This window comes from Homo sapiens, chromosome 6 (assembly GCF_000001405.40).
Source record: "Homo sapiens chromosome 6, GRCh38.p14 Primary Assembly".
NCBI lineage: Eukaryota > Metazoa > Chordata > Mammalia > Primates > Hominidae > Homo > Homo sapiens.
In genome coordinates this window covers 129950114-129970218 of record NC_000006.12, presented here as the reverse complement: position 1 = coordinate 129970218, position 20105 = coordinate 129950114, and the positions used below count along the sequence as shown (strand labels likewise).

The window sequence follows — 20105 nt, the reverse complement described above, 5'->3', positions numbered from 1 at the left end:
GTTGAAATATGTGCTATTATTTCATACACCCATCAAGAAAGAGAAACTCTGACAAAATTCACATCATCTTTCTTGTCACTTAAAATTTTTATTTTATACTCATTGAAAGAGCTCTTTTAGACTTATTTAGACATGGTTTTTAAAAAAATCATATCTCCTTCCCATAAAAAGGGAAATGTAAGCAAAATAAATCAATTTAGTTATACATAAAACATCTTTACATTCAGGTTAATCTTCTGATTCATTCCTCAACTCATACTTGTCAATGTCTGTGTTTTTCCACACAGTATCTCACTAATAAAATGCAATACAGCTTCATCCACTTGTGAGCATCTTCCTTTCTTAGTATTAATAAAGCAAGAAATATAAACTTGTGGTCATTCTTCAAATGGTAATACTTGGTATTCTAACATCAATTTATGTCCCATTTCTCTATTTCTGAGACTGTTTAGTCTACATTTTCTTTTTCAGCCACATAAGAGTGCTATCCTTTGAAGGCATTTTAAGCAGTATTTAAATTCCAGCAATGCACATAATTTAATTGTGTTTATAGTTATAAACAGTTATATCTAAGTTCACATAGAAAAATGACTGGTGTGCTTGTAAGATGCCAGTGACTATAAGATGTATTCCCTTTTCCAGAGATCTAAAAATGTGAAAAGATGCGTGTCTTTGAATCAATTAAAAATAGTATGTGTTTATTGTTTTATCTCCCACAAGAATGTATGTAAAGCACTAGGAGGGCAGAATATTCGTTTGTTTTCTGTGTTAGCTATTTGTCATCTTCTAGAAGAGTATTTGGAAAATAGTTGAGACTTAATAAGTGTTTGTTGAATAAATAAGTGGATGACTTTCTGCCTGCATTAGTAACCGTTGACTCTTTAGTACTTCATACTTGAAATCCCTATTCAAAGGATCTAGGTGGCTAAGTCAGTCACCATCAAGGATAATGTGCCCCTGCTGAGGGGAAATACAGCTCCAGGCACCTCACAGACTATTGACTAGCTGCCTAGTCATTTACACAAAAAGGCCATCTGCAACATCATCACCTACCTCGGAACCTTGCCTTGGGTAACCATGGCTTCTGGGGAAGCCTAGAAAAAGACAGACAGAGAGCCCTCAGAAATCTGTGAGATTTTATTACAGCTGTGAAGCCTTCAAAGGGGACCCTGGACAAGGGAAGCATGTCAAGGTCTCAAAAAAAAGTACAGAGGAACCAGAAGGAAACTTGCCTGGTCTGCCTAATAAGCACTTGTGTTTTTCTTTTTTTCCTTTTTTTTTTTTTTTGAGACGGAGTCTTGCTCTGTTGCCCAGGCTAAATTGCAGTAGCGCCACCTCGGCTCACTGCAATCTCCGCCTCCTGGGTTCATGCCATTCTCCTGCCTCAGCCTCCCGAGTAGCTGGGACTACAGGTGCCCACCACCATGGCTGGCTAATTTTTTTGTATTTTTAGTAAAGACGAGATTTCACCATGTTGGCCAGGATGGTCTCCATCTCCTGACCTTGTGATCCTCCCGCCTTGGCCTCCCAAAGTGCTGGGATTACAGGTGTGAGCCACTGCGCCTGGATTGTGTTTTTCATTTAAACCCTATTACAACCTTCTGAGACAAAAAAAAAACTCCTTTCAATACTTTAGAGATAAGAAAATTAAGTCAACAATATCAACAGGTCTCTTATTCTATGCAAAACAATGGAAGATTCTAATGGAGAAGTTGTGCATTTCTACTTTACTATGCACCTTTTAGGTGCCAAGGGCTGGACTAAGGGATTTAATGGTGAATGAACACAACCATGGGTCCTAAACTCATTGAACTCAGAGACAAGGAGTCTTAGTGCACATACCCAGGGTGCAACAAATGTCATCATTCTTTAAATCTACTTAATTTTACTCCCAGCATCAGTCCTACTAGGCTTAGTCTCTTTGGTGTCTCTTTTCCTTGACTACACGTACTCATGCCCTAAGTTGTATAAAGATTTTGGGGTCTTAGATGACACCAATGCACATGAAAACCCCTTTCAGTCATTAGGCCATATTGGTTTTTGTTCCAAATATTCATTATTACTGTATATATGGTTCCATTCTCTTCAAAAGTTCTACTCTTATCATGGATGAAGTAGGCGCCTTTGCCTAAACCAGAAAACTATGCCTGAAATCCCTCCTCCCAAGGTACACCTTGCAAACTCTGTTTCTCCAGACTTTCACCTCCTCTGAGAAAACTGCCAGGGTCCCATAGGCCCCTCACTCCTCCACAACTTATAGAATTCCCTGCCCCTACTGTTAGCCTCTCAAAATCACTCTCCTCCTATCCTGTAGTCTCACCACAAAATTTATTCAATGGGTGTTACTCAAAAATTGTTGACCTCCAGCATATTCTGCCAAAATCCTTCATGGAGGAAGTAAAAAGCCTGGCTAACTGCATGAAATAGAGTAAGAGAAGAGTACAGAAGAGCAAGCAAATTATTATGTCAGTATATTATTCTGGCAGTCTTCCCTCAACACAGTGGAATCTAGGACAGTGTTTCAAATTGGGTTCTTCACATTCTCACGCTCAAAGCAGTACCTGGCTGGAGACTAATGACTTGACTTTGATTCCTAGCTGCTCAGGTATGAGGCTGCCCTGCCCATTGCTTTACTTTCCTATAGGGCATGGATATCCCCAGAAGTGTGTAAGAAAATCAGAGCAGGAAGGCCAAGGGTACAAGGGCTACTACCTTCCATTTCCTATAATTCTCAATATTAAATTAAGCTTCCTACAATCCATACTAAGGCAGAAAAGGAAATATATTTTAATTTGAGTTCGTTTATATGTTGCCTGATTTCAAAAGGAATTTAAGGCAGCTAAGGAATTTAAGGAAGATATTTAATAACAAACAGTGAAACAGAAAGGGGTTGCTGCTTAACCTGAAAATTCAATTTAGCAGAGTAGTTTATTCAAAATATTCCAATTAAGCAAGATTTAATTATGCTTTATGTTTGTATTTACTACTACAACATTTTGTTCTTACTCATACAGTGGAGCGAGTTCCTGAATGAGTTGACAAACAAGGGAGAAATAAGTTTTTGTTGTTCTTCTTTTGCAATGAGATGATTAGCATTCTCCTGTTACTCCTCTAAATTTACAGTCATTTACTAAGCTATAAAAACTATAGGGGTAGCAGGGAGGCAGGCAATAATGGTAGCTCATGATTTAAAATATATTACCTGGGTCAATCATTTGTAAAACAATATAAACTAATATGTTTTACTTAATGTGGAGAGAATTCGTGTTAACAAGTTAAAAGGATTTTTAAGTCTGAGTTTTGGTTGAGGTAACAAAGGCCAACAACAAAATAATGGTTTCCCAAAACCCTGATGTTTTAAGAAGAGGTGCTAGACCACCACTGTAAAAACAGAATACTTAAACCCCTACCCATTTTCCTCTCAAAGGCATAAATTTAATGAGGTTAAAGATGCAGAGTAAGAGAGAGGATTTCTTTGGAGTATGTTGCTGGAATACTTCGGGGTTTTCCTGATCATATCTTGTAAGGGGAGGGGTTGGTGATTGTCAGTTCTCCATCACCTTAAGCCAAGCTAGAGAAGGGCTTCAAGGAAAACACTCTGAGAGCTTGACCTATGCTTCCTGAAGTTGGGGAGCATGAGGGCTGGTGGAGAAGTTCTAGCTAGAGTAGCCCAAGATGGCAGAGCAAAGGAGTGGGAAAGGTCTGTACTGTGAGTGCACTGCTTGCTCAGCAAGGGTGGCAGGAGTGTGTAGTGGTTCTTGGACTCAACTAGACTTAGGCCACATAGGAAGAATCTGGCTTGGAGCCCTGTTGAATCAAGTTCAAGAGCACTGCCTGGAAGGGAATTCCAGTGGTGTGCAGGGGCAAAGGGATTATGTATATGTAGCCTGTCAATTAGAGGCATTGCTTATATCTAGGGGACTGCAGAGGGAGGCCTCCAGTGAGGAGCATCTTTAAGGAATCCATGGAATCATTCCATCAGAGGAAGAATCAGCTCTGGGAATCTGCTCCAAGCCTGGGAACCAGGACCTGATGACATCACTGCTGGTCCAGCAGGGTCCGCCCTGTCCCTTACCTCTTCTACCTCTCGTCATTCTCAGCCTGCAACTCAGTAAGGGCAAAGGAAAGGAGAAGGAAGGCAGGAGATTGGAAGCCTCTGTGACCCAGTGGGTCCAGGCTGGGGTCAGGGAGAAGTTCTAACTTTAAATGAAGCTTGGAAATGTGTTACATTGAACTGCACATTTTGTTTACTAAAATGGGTTGCTCTGGTGACTAAAAATGACTTGAGTCACAGCAAAAGCTAAGAATTGGTTTGAAGGGGCAGAGGAATAGCCTTGTTTTCTGCTCCCACCCAGTGGAATTCTGCTTATACAGACATTAGAATTATCAGGGCCTACTGCTGTCAAGACCTAATATGAATCATGCAGAGTCCTAATAGTCAAGACATACTGAGAGTGAACTTTGCAGGCTAGCAGGAAAACATGTTCTAATCCCACTCTTCTTTTCATTCATACCAGGGATCTGACATTATCTCCCTCAAACAATGTCCAGTAGCCTTGAATGACTATGTAACTGCATAATTACTTTCCTTTGTTCTTTTTTCCAGTTAATTGTTTCAGAGTAGCTAAGCTTCTTCCTACATATATTTCTGTCCTTTGTGGTCCTCAGTTGTATATATTTTGCCAAAAACAACCTAAAGTTTGGATAAATTTTCTTTTTTAAAAATAGACTTTATTTTTTAGAAAAATTTTAGGTTCATAGCAAAATCAAAACAAAGTACAAAGAATTCCCATATACTCTATGTTAATTATATATATATAAAATGTATATACAGGTAAAATAGATATAAGAAAATTTACCATTTTAACCATTTTTAGGGGTGCAGTTCAGTGGCAGTAAGCACATTCACATTGTTGCGCAACCATCATCATCATCCATTTCCAGACTTTCTTTATAATCCCAAGTTGAAACTGTACCCGTTAAACAGTAACTCCCATTCCTCAATCCCCAGCCTCTGGTCCTACTATTCTACTTTCTGTCCCTATGAATTTAATTATTCTAGGCACCTCATGTAAGTGGGATCATACAATATTTGCACTTTTATGACTGGTTTATTTCATTTAACATAATATTTTCAAGATTCATCTGTGTTGTAATATGTTAGAATTTCCTTCCTTTTTAAGGCTGAATAATATTCCATTGGATATATATACCACATTTTGTTTATATGTTCATCTGTTGATGGACATTTGGGTTTTTCCACTTTTCGGCTACTGTGAAAATTTTTATCACTAGAATTGATAGTCTTCCACTGACTACTTCCCCTAAAATAAAACCTTCTCTGGCACTTTCATTCCTCATTACCCCTATTACTGGCTTTGTTTCTCTTCACAATACTTATCCCACATGACACTTATTTGTTCTTTACTCAGAGCCTATTTTCTTACTTAATCCAGAGAACAAAATCTAAAGCTTTACTTTTTCTGAAAAGTCCATACATCATAGGACCTAAACCCCAACTGTACATATGAATCATCTGGGGAGTTTTCAAAAAGATATCCATGACTGGACCTCACCCTAGACCAATTAAATCATACTCTCTCTAGGTGGAGCTCCAAAGGTGGACCTAATGTGTGCCGGGGTTGAGCATACCTTGCATTCTTTGTCTGTAGCTACTTCTCTGTCTGCAGCTACTTCTCTGCCTTCACCTTCACCACTTTCTGCCTTGCTCATCTGCTCTAACCCTCCGGGTTTCCTTGCAGTTTTCACTGCAGGGTCATGCAATTTGCTGCTGCCTCCATTTGAAAGTTTTTTTTTCTTTTTCTTTTTTTTTTTTGAGATGGAGACTCACTCTGTTGCCAGCCTGGAGTGCAGTGGCATGATCTCAGCTCACTACAACCTCCGTCTCCTGGGTTCAAGTGATTCTCTTGCCTCAGCCTCCCGAGTAGCTGGGATTACAGGCACCAGACACCAAACCCAGCTCAGTTTTGTATTTTTAGTAGAGACAGGGTTTCACCATGTTGGCTGTGCTGGTCTCGAACCCCTGACCTCAAGTGATCCACCTGTCTCAGCCTCCCAAAGTGCTGGGATTATAGGCGTGAGCCACTGTGCCCGGCCTGAAAGTTTTTTCTTCAAAATCCACATCGCTCCCCACCCCCACTTCTTTCAGGACCCTACTAAAGGAAGCTCTCCCTGACCCTCCTAAATTAAATAGCATGACAGATCCCACATGCCCATTCCCCTTACCTTGCTTATCTGCCTTCATGGGACTTACCATACACCTCCAAGTATACATTGTTTTGTTTATTTTCTGTCTCTCCCTTTTAGATGGTAAGTGTCAGCAGAGCAAGGTTTTTGTTCATAGGCATTTCCCTAGTCACTAAAATAGTGCCTGGCGAAAAGCAGATGCTCAATAGATACGTGTTGAGTGAGGGAGTGATTCTGGAATCTTCAGAAGCAGAATGCCAAACACAATTCGAGGAAATCTGGGATAGAAGGATGTACAGAAATTAATGGCATAATACTGTACACAGTGGGACTTTGGGAAGAAATCAATGCTTCCAAAATGACAGCCATCGAACATTGCCCTTTATTTTTCACAGTCTATAAAGAAGTCATTTGCTGCTTTTCCAGGACAGAAGGATTCTGCTCTGCCTCACACCACCTGATGCTCCCCAGACCTAACAGCCTGGGTGTGCATGGGTGCTGAGGGAACCCAAAACCAAGATCAGGCAAACAACTCACCTAAGGCTACATTTACTGTTGAGAAGCAAATTAGTAGTGCAGAAATTCCATAGGGAAAAGATGTCAGATCACAGAGCAAAATACCAAGAGGTGGAATTAATAAGGAAAAAGAGAAGAGCAGGATGGATCTAGGAGACCCAACGAGGGATTAATTCGACATGTGCAGCTCCTTCTGGAACTCCAGAGGAGGCAAATTGGAAGGAAAAAATTAAATCATGAGAGGAAATTCCCCTGAGTAGCAAGAGACTTGAGGATACAAATTAATAGAGCTCACCAAATTTTACAAAAGGTTACTTTAAAAAGAGACAAACAAACTTTCCCTTCTGGCAATGTTGTAATTAGAAGGACTAGATTTACCCTCCCACATTAAATAACTAGAAAACTAGTCAACATGTGTCCAACAACAATCAGCACTGAGAGAAAGGAACCAAAGGAGGTGAGCTCTGTGAATGTCCCCACTTACTGCCCAGATAGACTTTGGGTATTATTGAAATTCTTGAAGTTTAAGAATAAAAAACTGCAAGACAGAAAGAATAGAGTATGCAGGAGAGTGAAGAAGTAAAAACATTGTAATTTTCAGGTACGGGGAGAAGAGACATGAACAAATAAAATATATAGGATTCAATATAGTTGTTATTATATTCTGATATTATAATAGATAAGAATAGATTTAACTGTAGATTTAACCACAAGAAGAATTTAAAAGAGAGAAGAAATTTCAAATTACCAAATTTGAAAAAGCAACGAAGGAAAAATTGACATAAGCAGAAGAAGTAATAATGGGAGAAAACACAGCAACAGCATAATAAAAATAAAGAAAACATATAATATAATGGAAGGAATAAAATAGAGTATATCAGTTCTCACTACATTTTTTAACCCGGCCAAACCACAAAATGATTTTGAAATGACACTCATCTAAAATAAAGTAGCAAAGAATCATTGAAAATGAATACGTGAGCAAAGATACACAGATTGAGTACCCTGTATCCAAAATGCTTAGGACAAGAAGTGTTTTGGATTTCCTATTTTTTCAGATTTTGGAATATTTGCATATACATAATGAGATATCTTGGGAACAACAACCAATTCTAAACACAGAATTCATTTATGCTTCATGTACACCTTATATACATAGCCTGAAGGTAATTTTATACAATATTTTAAATAATTTTGTGCATGAAACAAAGTTCGTGTACATTCAACCATCAGAAAGGGAAGATGTTACTATCTCAGCCATACATGTGGACAATCTGTGGTTGTCTGGCAACACCATCACTCCTGACTCTGAATGTATATGCTACCAATAAGCAATCATTTTCTTACATTTATTCACAAGCAAGTACTTAACACTAAAAAATATGACCTACCATTAATACAGTGAAAAACTAATGTGTTCAGGGTAACTAAGCAGCATGGAATATCTGTTTCAGCTGTAAACAACAGCAACAACAAACTATGGCAGGCTTTCAGTCTGCAACTGCAACTAAAATGCTGTGTTTTGATTAAAGGTTGTTGTACACTGCATTCTTCTTCTGTTTTAGGTGAGAATAAACATCAGAGGCAGGTGAGGGCCTAGAAGTGGGTCCTCTGTGGATAAGGAGGTGTTCTGCCAGATGGCTTTTTAAAATGTCTGCTCCAGAGTCATCTGCCTCATTAATAACAGTTTTTGTTTTAGAAGTCTCTTTGAGTTTATGAACTGACATAATGCCCTGTTCTCTATGAATGCATGCTTCTCTATTCTTTCAATAAGTCCATCACACATTTTCACCATGTCATCTATAGGCACTTTTTCTGCAGTGTTAACAATGTCATCTTCATCGTTTGCCTGCGTTTTGACTGCAACCCACACATGAGGTCAGGTGTGGAATTTTCCACTTTGGCATCATGTTGGCACTCAAAATTTTCAGATTTTGGAGCATTTCATATTTTGAATTTCCAGATTAGGGGTGTTCAACCTGTACCAGCAAAACAGGCAAATAGAAAGCAGCTATGGGCCAGGTGCGGTGGCTCACACCTGTAATCCCAGCACTTTGGGAGGCTGAGGCGGGCAGATTACTTGAGGTCAAGAGTTTGAGACCAGCATGGCCATCATGGTGAAACCCCGCTTCTACTAAAAATATAAAAATTAGCTGGGCGCAGTGGTGTGCGCCTGTAATCCCAAGTACTCGGGAGGCTGAGGCAGGAGAATCACTGGAACCTGAGAGCCGGAGGCTGCAGTGAGCCAAGATCAGGCCACCGCACTCCAGCCTGGGTGACAGAGTGAGACCCTGTCTCAAAAAAAAAAAAAAAAAGAAAAAAAAAAAAGAATGCAGGTGTGAAAATATCAATAAGCAACAAGGCCAAAAACATTAAACAGAACTGAGAGAGGCATTGTTTAATGGTGAGAGATGCAGTTCACCTAGACTCAAGAAAGTTTTTTTCCATAGATTACGCATAAAATTTAATGCACAAAATAGTGTAGTCATCAAATACGTACAAAGGTTCTATAAGTGCAGCTAGATCTTTAAAGAAATATAGTGAAATAATTTAATATACTTTTTCTAGAATTTGATAGATCAAGTAGATAAATAATAAATAAGAACATAGATTATTTTAATAGTACAATCTACAAGGTGTATAAAACTATGTCTTCCATCAGAGAACATATATTCTGTACTGAAATCTGTGGAACATTAGAAGAATCAATCGTGTTCTTGGCCACAAAGAAAACATTAAATCAATTCTAAAAAGTAGAAACTTTACAGGCCACATTATCTGATAATAATTCAACATAAAAAAGATATAATCATCAAAAAATTTAATTCCTTGGAAATGAAAATGTGCCATTTTATTTTTAAAATCCTAAATTAAAGAGAAAATCAAAACATCAAAACCAAAGGAAAATAGTGATCTAAAAAGGAAAGAAAATGAGAACTGTTAAGACCAAAACCTATGGAATACATTAAGGCTGGAATAAATTTTATAAAATTCAAAGTTTTTATTAAAAATTAAAAAAAAAATTTAAGGCCAGCGCGGTGGCTCACACCTGTAATCCCAGTACTTTGGGAGGCTGAGGTGGGCAGATCATGAGTTCAGGAGCTCGAGACCAGCCTGGTCAACATGGTGAAACCCCGTCTCTACTAAAAATACAAAAATTAGCCAGGCATGGTGGCGGGTGCCTGTAATCCCAGCTACTCAGGAGGCTGAGGCAGGAGGATCGCTTGAACCTGGGAGGCGGAGGCTGCAGTGAGGCGAGATGGTGCCATTGCACTCCTGCTTGGACAACAAGAGCAAAACTCCGTCTCAAAAAAAAAAAAAATTAAAAGTCATCTGATTTATATAAGAAACAACAAAATAGATTGAACAAAAGCAGGAGGATAAAAATTTTATGGGAGCAGGAACTTTCTTTTGCTTATCGCCACTAATTCATTTATTTGGAATAGTACAAAGACCAATAGACAGATGTCAGGTAAGCCAGATAAGGGGAAAAAAGAGAAAAAAACTATACAAAATTAAGAATGACAAAGAAGATATAATTTGAGATAGGGATACAATTAAAATGATTATACATTATACACAATTCTGGGATCTTCGCGGTGTCACTCTGCCAGCCTGAAACCTCTATGGCCGGTGGGTGCACCTTTGACTGAGTTTTGCTCTGGCCTGCTGAACTCATTCCGCCCACTCGGCCTGGCAGCCTGCCCTTGGCTCCTGCTACTGGCCTAGACCCCACTACCGGCCTGGATCCCACACCTGCCAAGGGCAAGCCAGGCACTGAGAGGTGAGGGGGTGCGTGAGCGAGTGTGGGGTCCGGCCACTGTGCACAGCCAGGCACACTGGCTGCGGTGGTGTGGGCAGCTCCAGGTGCTGGCCTGGGCACCAGCTCCCGGGGAGGCTGCAGCTGGACCAGGAGTACCATAAATCAGCTTCCACAGCTGACACTGGGGAATGTGATTGTGGCACCCGGAAGCTTGGAGACGCCAGGAACCGCAGAGCCCTAAAGAGGGTTTCACAGCCCTGGCTCCAGGAGCTCCTAGGTCTGGGATACCTGAAGGGCCACAGCTCTTCCCTCCTTGTCTCTTCTCTCCTTGACACCCGCAACGTGGCAGGCAAGGGGAGTCTCTCAGCCTTGTTTGTGTTGCAGCTCTTTTAGCCCTGCTGAATGGGTCCCAAATTCTTGTCCTGCATCAGGGAAGAATGAGGTACATAGACAACTGGAGGGTGAGCAAGACAAAGAGGAGCTTTACTGAGAATAGAACAGCTCAGAGGAGACCCGCTCCTCTCCATAGCCAAGGTGCCCCCATGAGTGTTCAGCTCTCAGCAGAGGGGGTAGCTCCTCTCTGCTAGGCAGTTCCTCCCAATGAGTATCCAGCTCTTAGCAGAGAGGGTAGCTCCCATCTGCAGCTGGTCATTCTGTCATCTCCTCAGCTCTCAGCAGAGAGGAGACCCTGAGGTGGGCAGTTCCTCTCTGCAGCTGGTCCTCCCATTGCCTTCTTGAGTCTGGCCGAGTCTAGGACTTTTATGGGCCTCAGAGGGGAGGAAGTGTGCACCAATTGGTCCATGGGCATCCAAGGGCGGGCCCAGAAAAGGCACCACAGTTTCCCACTCTGGTCCCCACGGGACCAGAAGCCTAGCCCCGAGGCTTCAGGTCTTCCCTGGTTTGAAGGTGGGGCTTCACCAGGGACCTGCTCCTTCTGCCCCTGTCTGCCTCCTGCTGCTCTTCATGGTGCCCAGGCTGTTTGTGCCAAGGGGTGCCTGCAAGCCAGAATCAAGCTGCCTTCAGCACCCCCTTGGCCTCTCTCCTGTGCTCACTGGTGCGCAAAGTCTGGAGGGGGCCGAGGTGGCTGGTGCCTGGTATGTCAGTGCTGCTCCCAGTGTGCACACATCCGACCAGGTTGCCACGGCACCCGGGATTGGCCTCAAATTTGCTCCATGATCTGAGTGGGCACTGACAGTGAGGAGAGGCCAGGCAGCAGGAACAGATACTTCCGAGCCTTCAGGGGCAAGGGAGTACCTTCCCGGGGCCACCTGACAGTGCAGAGATGCCTAGGTCCACAGCCGCAACCTGGGTGGCTACAGCCATGCCAGGAGGGGGCCTCCTACCTCCTCCTCACTCCCACCAGCTCCATGGAGCACAGCATCGCCCTGGGCCCAGCTTCACCTCAGGGACCCTCTCTGCCTGCACCCCCATGCCCGACTGCACTGCTCCACTGCTGGTGGGCAACTCAGCCCAGCCCCATTGCAGCAGCTCCCAGGATGGCATCCCTGGCCAACCTTGTACAAAGAAACCACCTCATGCTCCCAGGGTGGGCCCCGCGGGCCCCAGCTTCGCCTTCAGCAAGGTGCTGCGGGCCCCTGGGACACAGTGGAGGAGTGAGGTTGAGGCTGCGGTAGAGGCTCTGGACCTAGGAGCTGGCCCTGCCCAATCATGCAAGGGTGGGGGTGGTGCAGTTGGCTGCCTTGGGATACAGGGCACAGGGGACCCACCACCACCACCGCTGCTCCCACAGCCATTCCTGCTGCCACCACTCACGCCTCCCCCCTGCAGCTGGCATGATGGCAGCCGCTGCTCCAGATGGCCCACCACTGTCATCAATTATATGGCAATGAATTTTAAAATCTAGGGGAACTAGATAATTTCCTGGCAAAATATAACTTATATGGTAGAGAGATGCTATTTCATTTTCTCACTCTTTCTTCTTACAGGCACTGAGGCGCCTCATTATTAGGCTAAGACCATGAGGAAGGGATCTGGTGAAAGATGTGAGAATATACAAGTGATACAGGGTACTTTCAGGGCCTAGGACCTAAACATAGCCTGCTCATCCCTTTAGCCCTTTTTAATGATGATTTTAGAATATTCCGGATAGCATAGCTATAAGTTGAAGGATGGCTCTTTGACGACCCATCTCAGACTGTGATGTGAACTAGAAATAAATTTTTACTGTGTTAAGCTTCTGAGATTGCATGTTTTGTTACTTCAGCTTAGCATAACCCATCCGGACTAATGCATCTACAGCATTTGACCACAAAGAAAAAGAAACTTGACTAAAAAACAAAAACAAAAACAAAACCTTTATAAGCATTTGGAAAGATGACAAAACTTAACCATTTAAAAAGCATCAGGCCCATATTGATTTTAAACTGATAGTGATGTTGGAAGAATAGATAATACTTATTTTAATGATGCCAACTCATAGGGGTGGAAAGGAAATCTCCCTAGCTCATTTTATAAAATCAATATAGCCTTAATACCAACATCCAATACAGCTAGTAGAGCAACAAGAACAAAAGCTATGTAGGCCAAATTTACTAACAGATATATATGCAAATTTTCTAAATAAATTATTAACAAATAGAACAGCAGTACATCAAAAGAAGGCTACACAATCAGGTAGGTGGTTCCAGGAATGTGTGAATGATTCAAAACTAGGAATTCTTTCAGTCTAATGACTACATCAATAAACTAAAGGAGAAGAGCCATGAATATATCATAGATACCAAAAGTGTTGTGATAAAAAATTCTCTTAATGCTAAATGTAAAGTAGAAAACAAAGGAAATTACTGAAATATGATAAAGGCCATTCACCCAAACAAACATGATCACCATATTAATAACGAACTATGAATGCTGATGGAAAAATATGGGAACAATGTAGGAATAATCTTAATCAAAAGGCTGGTTCTTCCATAATCAACAGATATTCTAAAAGCTCAAAATCTTAACTAAAAACAATATTCTTAATGTGGTACTCTTCTAGACAAAGACTGTGAGTACTTTATATATAGTAAATGCAGGACTTTGACAGCTTTAAAATACAAGTTATTAGTATCCCATTCAAATTGTCTTTGTCAAATTTTGTAACTCAGAAGATCCATCTTTCCCTTCTCCTCCCCTTGAAACCTTAATGCATTTATCTTATATCACATGAAACTGCTGTTGTGTCAGACATGGTTCCCTGATATATGCAAAAGCATCATTTTCATATTTCAGCTTCACTGAGAAATCCAAAACAGTTTAATACACTAATAGCTAAAATAAAGACAGAGCCACTTCCAGATATGTGAGGGATTGAAAAGACTGGCAGAAATAGAAACAATTTAAGTAAATTATTTTATTGTTTTTTATTGTTATAGATATTTCTAGCTGTTGGATCTCTTATGTTAATATTTTACTTATTATTATTTATTTAGTTTTTAGAGTCAGGGTCTCACTCTGTCACCCAGGCTGGAGTGCAGTGGTGTGATCATAGCTCACTACAGCCTCAAACTCCTGGGCAGCATACCTTCTTACTTGGCCTCCTAAATCCCTGGGATAATGGGTCTGAATCACCACACCCAGCCCCTAAGAATGTACTTAAATCAATGGTCTCCGTGACTATTTTAGTGAATTCTACTAGGAGATAAAGAGAATTTTGTGAGCCAAACGCAACCTGTACAACAGGAGTTATTTATTATACATTCATATTCCTAGATGAGTCTAAGATATTTAATTATGGACCTATAAACATTTTCACAGAATTATAAAATAATATAGAATATTTGACCTAAAAGGGAATGGAGATAGCATATTCAATATTTTCCTAATAACAGTAGTAATAAACATCAAATCTGCTTTCTTTTTCTTCAGAGTAAAATATCTTAGAGTAATCCTCAGGCCTTCAGTGAGCCAGAAACCTGGGGCTTTCACCATAGTGATCATAGAACACTCACCAGAAGGTTTTCAGGAATGCTCCGTCATATCTGGATCTCAGTGGTAGAGATATTTAATCTTAAACTGATACCATCACAACCCACACAGAAATGAGAAAAACTAAAATCACCTATAATAAGAACAAATAACATTCTGATTTATTTTCTTTGGTCATTTTCTGGACATATATACATATATGTGTAATGTGAGTTTCTTCAAGTCATCCCATCTGGAGTTAAACACAGGGTCACTTCGATAGTGTCACCTCTGTTTTACTGGCTTGTAAAAATGCAGGACCTTAGTCCCCTGGAAAATCTTGCCCTGCTCCCAACATGTTTCTGTGGTTTCTAGAGAGTAATGTACAGGTGCCCAGGCACTAGCCCAGGCGGATCCCACATGGCAGGCCCCTGGCTGCTTTTTACAATCAAGAATGGCCCTCACACACTGAAGCGTTCAAGGTTCCAAGCTGGGCACAGGCCAACAGAAAGGCAGCAAAGAAAGCCCTCCTTCACATCTGTGTTACATTCCGCTGTGGCACACCAAAACACGGTGGTGCTCTGATGTGTTGCAAGGCTTTTGGTTTAAGCAGCTCTTCCTGCCTTTGCATACCGTCCTCTGTCTCCCAAGACCAGCTCCTATCCTAGATCCCAGAGGTTGAGCCCAGGCAGATGCAGGATTCAGACACCCCTGGACTAGAATTAGGGTAGTCTCTCATCCCAGGGCCTAGTCTTACAGTCACACTGTTTTCTACAACTCCCTTTTTGCTTAGAATGAGTTATTTTCTAGGAGGTTCCTTCATTCCCCCAAGCAAACTGAGAAAAGCCCGGAAGGCCACCTACCAGTTATTTAGGCCTGCCCAGACTTGCTTACATCTCAGAAGGCAGCACACAATTTCAAACTGAGACAGCCCTGCCACCACACTCACGCTCAGATGCTGTTTATTGTTTACAAAGATGGAATCATGCTATACGCACAGTCTTTATCTTGCTTTTTGAAATTTAATAATATGTCAAGCATATTTTCCATGTCATTAGAAACATGACTCTTTAATTCCAACACAGAATTCTGTTTTATGAACATACCATCATACATGTATTAACTACATTCTAGTGTTAGACACTGAAGTTTCCAATTTTCCTGTAAAACAGAATTGCAATGAACAAACTTGAATATAAATCTTGTGATTCTCTCTGGTTATTTCTATGGAATAACTACCTAGGAATGGAATTACTTTGCTTTGTACATCAGGTTGCCTTCCAGAATGTTAGAAAATAATTTTTATTTCCAGCAGTGTGTAAGGATATCTAATTCACTATGCCTTAGCCAGCACTGATTATTATAATGTTTTAATCGTTTCCAATCTGCTGGGAAAAAAAACAACATGGAATCTTATCTAAATTTGTATTCCTTTTAGCTAAAATTCCTAATAGCTAATGGTTAGCTTTATTTTTTTCTTTTATTAAAAAACATGTTTTTAGGCTGGGCACAGTGGCTTATGCCTGTAATCCCAGCACTTTGGGAGGTCAAGGCAGGCTGATACCTCGAGGTCAGGAGTTCGAGACCTGCCTGGCCAACATGGTGAAACCCTGTCTCTACTAAAAGTACAAAAAAGTTAGCTGGGCCTGGTGGCACATGACTATAATCCCAGCTACTTGGGAGGCTGAGGCATGAGAATAACTTGAACCCGGGAGGCTGAGGTTGCAGTGAGCTGAGATCGCACCATTGCACTCCAGCCTGGGTGACAGCATGAGATTCTGTCTCCAAAACAAACAAACAAACAAACAAACAAAAAAACAGAAACAAACATGTTTTTCTATTTTTGAAAAAAAATTGGAGACAGAATAGTTTAAAAATATCTTTTCATATAAAGGAATAACAAAGATGCACAAAATAAAATAAAAAATAATATAACAACCACCACTTTATGTTTTGCCCAACATAAGAAATAAAAAAATTAGCAGTAGAGTTGATGTCCCTAAGGACCCCTCCTTGATCACATTCCTCTCCTCTCCCCCTTGGCAGGTAGGCTTTACACACACACACACACACACACACACACACGCACACACACAGAGAACACACTTCATGCATTCATGTATCTATGTAAACATATTGAATTGTTTATTCATCATCCTACACAGTATTACGCTTTTTGTTTTCCTTCTGTTATGGAAGATTTTGAACACTACACAAAAGTTGACAGAATATCGAGCCCATCATACATATTTAACAATTATCAACTCATGGACAATCTTCCTTTAGTTTTACCTCTAATCCACCAACCCCACCCCTGTATTATGTGGAAGCAGAACCCAGATATCATACCATTTCATCTGTAAATGACTGCGAATGTATCTTTAAAAATTAAGGATGCTTTTAAACACATCTACAGTACCATGATCATACTTGAAAAGATTAGCAATAATTCTTGTTTTCAGCAGATATCGTGTTAAAATTTCCAGTTGTCTTATACTTCTAATTTTTTTTTTGCAGTTTGTTTCTTGGAATCAAGATCCATATCAGGTCCACACACTGTGATTGGCTTTGTATTCTTTTATTTATTTTTATAATGGTATTTTCATCCTTCTTATTAGTTTTTAAGAATTGTTTATATAGTATATATATTTCCCTGCTACATTGTTAAAAATGCTATTGTAGTATTTGCCTTTATATTTTAAGTTTTTTATTTATAGAAGTTATTTTAAAAATTTTGATAACTCGATTTTCCCTTTTCAGATGTTTCTTGCGATGTAAGAAATTAAAAAACTAACATTAGAGTTGATGTCGCCAAGGACCCCTCCTTGATCACATTACTCTCCACTCCCCCACGAGAGGTAAGCTTTACACACACACACACACACACACACACACTTCATGCATTCATGTATTTATGTAAACATATTGTTTTGAATTGTGTATTCATTGCCCTAAACAGAAAGACCTTTCTTATGCCATATCAGATATTCATCTATGCTTTATATTAATACTTAAATAGTTTTACTCTCACATTTAACTCTTTAAATATCTAGAACTTAAAATTGTATGTTATAAATTAGTGCTCCAACAGAATTGTTTCCTAAATAGCTTCTTTGCAGGGACACCTTCAATTTTCAGATGAGGAAACTAAATCTCAGAGACTTTCTTTTACGCAGCCAAAGAAAGCCTAGAATTTAAACCTTCTACATCTTAAGCCAAGCTTATTACTTTTATCTCCTCTCTGTTTTCTTTCCAAACCATAAGGAAATGGTTGTGAATCTAGACAATCATCTGAAGAATTTTTGAAGCTACAGTGATCTCAAAAACCACTTGTTGAGGGTGAATCTCAAATACTCCTGCCTGAAAGCAAAGACTTTTTTAGAATAAGCATACAGCTTTTATCCAAAGGAAACCAAAGGAATATTACTATGTTCTAGATCAGTGTTCATAACAGAGCCAAATATAATACATACACTTTTTTTCTTGTAAACTCTATTTTAGTCTTCAGTAAAACAGAACAAAAGTCTCTCAAAAATCTGGTTAATAATAACTACAATAGTCTTTGCTTATACACAGTTTCTCTTTCCATGGTTTCAGTCACCCAAGGTCAACCATGGTCCGAAAATAGGTGAGTACAGTACAATAAGAGATTTTGAGATAGAGAGAGAGAGACCACATTCATGTGACTTTAATTACAGTTGTATTAGTCTGTTCTCATGCTGCTCATAAAGACATACCGGAGACTGGGTAATTCATAAACAAAAGAGGTTTAATTGACTCGCAGTTCCACGTGGCTGGGGAGGCCTCACAATTACGGTGAAAGGCAAAGGAAGAGCAAAGGCATGTCTTATATGGCAGCAGGCAATAGAGCTTGTGCAGGAGAACTCCCCTTTATAAAACCATCAGATCTCTTGAGACGTATTCACTATCACAAGAACAGCATGGGAAAGACCCACCCCTATGTTTCAATTACCTCCCACTGGTCCTTCCCACAATGTGTGGGAATTATGGGAGCTACAATTCAAGATGAGATTTGGGTGGGGACACAGAAAAACCATGTCAACAAGATATTGTTATAATTGTTTTATTTTATCATTAGTTATTGTTGTTAATGTCTTACTGTGCCTAATTTATAAATTAAAACTTATCATAGGTATGAACAGTAAAAACCACAGGATACATAGAGTTCAGTGTTATCCACAGTTTTGGCATCAATTAAGGGTCCTGGAACATTTCCCCCTAAATAAGCAGGGACTGCTGTAACCCTAATTCAGTGCTTACAATGTGCCAAGTACCATTCTGCAGGCTTTACATGCACTAATTCACCAAAGCCTCTTAGCAACTCTGTGATGTAAATTTTTTGTTTTAAATCTCCAATTTTATGCATGAGGCAACTGAGGCATAGAGGAAAAGTAACTTACACACTACTTATAAACAGACTGCAATCAGTAGAGCTAGGATTTGAGCTTTGTTTTAATTTTGTACAATGTGCTTTTTATAATACTTGCAATGTGTGGCCACAAGGCAGTGGTCACAGGTGCTAATCTGGCAGAAGTAGATTTTGGGGAAATCTTGAGACTTCTGCTCCTGGCAGATGTATTTCATGGTGCCATGACAAGGGGACATATTCTGATTTCACACTCTATGTCCTCATGCCTGATGAACTTATGCCACTCTCTTAGAATTAAACATAAAAAAATTCAAGGACATCATACGACAACCTCTACAGAAAGCAGATCTCTAAAAAAACCAACCAGAATTTAGAAATCATTAGCTACAAAGTAGGTGAATAATGAGAGCAAAAGTGAGGGAAAGGGAGAAGTGAGTGAGATCCAGTGACACATAAAGCTGACAGTTTTATTATGACCCTAAGGGACAAAGATTATTATAGGCAATGAAATATATATATTGGTTTACGGTTTGAATTTTATTTTGATCAAAAGCAGATATTTTCTCAGGCAATCCTCAGCCACAGCCTTCTTGGCTGCAAAACCAAATGGCTGGCTACTCATGTACTGTTGAATGTCTGAGTATATTTAGACAACTGAGTGCAACTGCAAAAATGTCACAAGTCAGCCTTTTTTGCTCCTGTATCAGCAGAAGAAATAAGCTTACATAATGAGCCTGTGAGATCGATAGGAAGAACCCAAGTTATAATGCCGCAGCCCAAAGCCCCATTTTGCATCATTCCTCTACTGAGCTGGTAAACTAAAAAACAAAAACAAAAACAGAGAGGATTACTTATCAAAAGGAGGGATAAAGCAGTTATACTTCATGTAATGCTTTTTAGAACTTTCTAATCATGAATGCCAAGTGGCGCCCACTGAATTTCAAGCTTGCACTAAGTTGCATATTTCAGAAGGGTCCCTCTTCCCTCCAAAGCCTGTGGCTGAATAATATGGGGAGGCTCTGGCAGCCAACAGCCCCAGAAACTGTGATGCATCAATTTCCAACCTGCCATTTCAAACCGAAGTAGCAAAGCAGTTTCAACACTGGTTCCTCCATGAACTTGCAGAAACATGCAGTCGCTTATAGCCAGATGTAAGGTGAAGGAGTGGGAAGTGGGAGGGATAGGGCATCAGATAGCATCTTATTCATCTTAAAGGAGTGTTCTGGGAAACTTGAGGAAGCCACTTAACTTTTCTGGGTCTTGGCTCCTTACATTCAAAGCAAGATAGTTTAACGAAAATTAGTTCGTGTCTGTTCTTAC

At 40.2% G+C, this 20105-nt stretch overlaps 3 annotated features.

Moving 5' to 3' along the window:
- Positions 506-1226: an enhancer, noted in NCBI's record as "OCT4-NANOG hESC enhancer chr6:130290138-130290858 (GRCh37/hg19 assembly coordinates)". NCBI's record gives its function as "activates a minimal SCP1, AML or CMV promoter by ChIP-STARR-seq in naive H9 embryonic stem cells {active_cell/tissue: H9 hESC(naive)}" and the evidence as "EXISTENCE:reporter gene assay evidence [ECO:0000049][PMID:30033119]".
- Positions 10009-10544: an enhancer, noted in NCBI's record as "H3K27ac-H3K4me1 hESC enhancer chr6:130280820-130281355 (GRCh37/hg19 assembly coordinates)". NCBI's record gives its function as "activates a minimal SCP1, AML or CMV promoter by ChIP-STARR-seq in primed H9 embryonic stem cells {active_cell/tissue: H9 hESC(primed)}" and the evidence as "EXISTENCE:reporter gene assay evidence [ECO:0000049][PMID:30033119]".
- Positions 10545-11081: an enhancer, noted in NCBI's record as "H3K27ac-H3K4me1 hESC enhancer chr6:130280283-130280819 (GRCh37/hg19 assembly coordinates)". NCBI's record gives its function as "activates a minimal SCP1, AML or CMV promoter by ChIP-STARR-seq in primed H9 embryonic stem cells {active_cell/tissue: H9 hESC(primed)}" and the evidence as "EXISTENCE:reporter gene assay evidence [ECO:0000049][PMID:30033119]".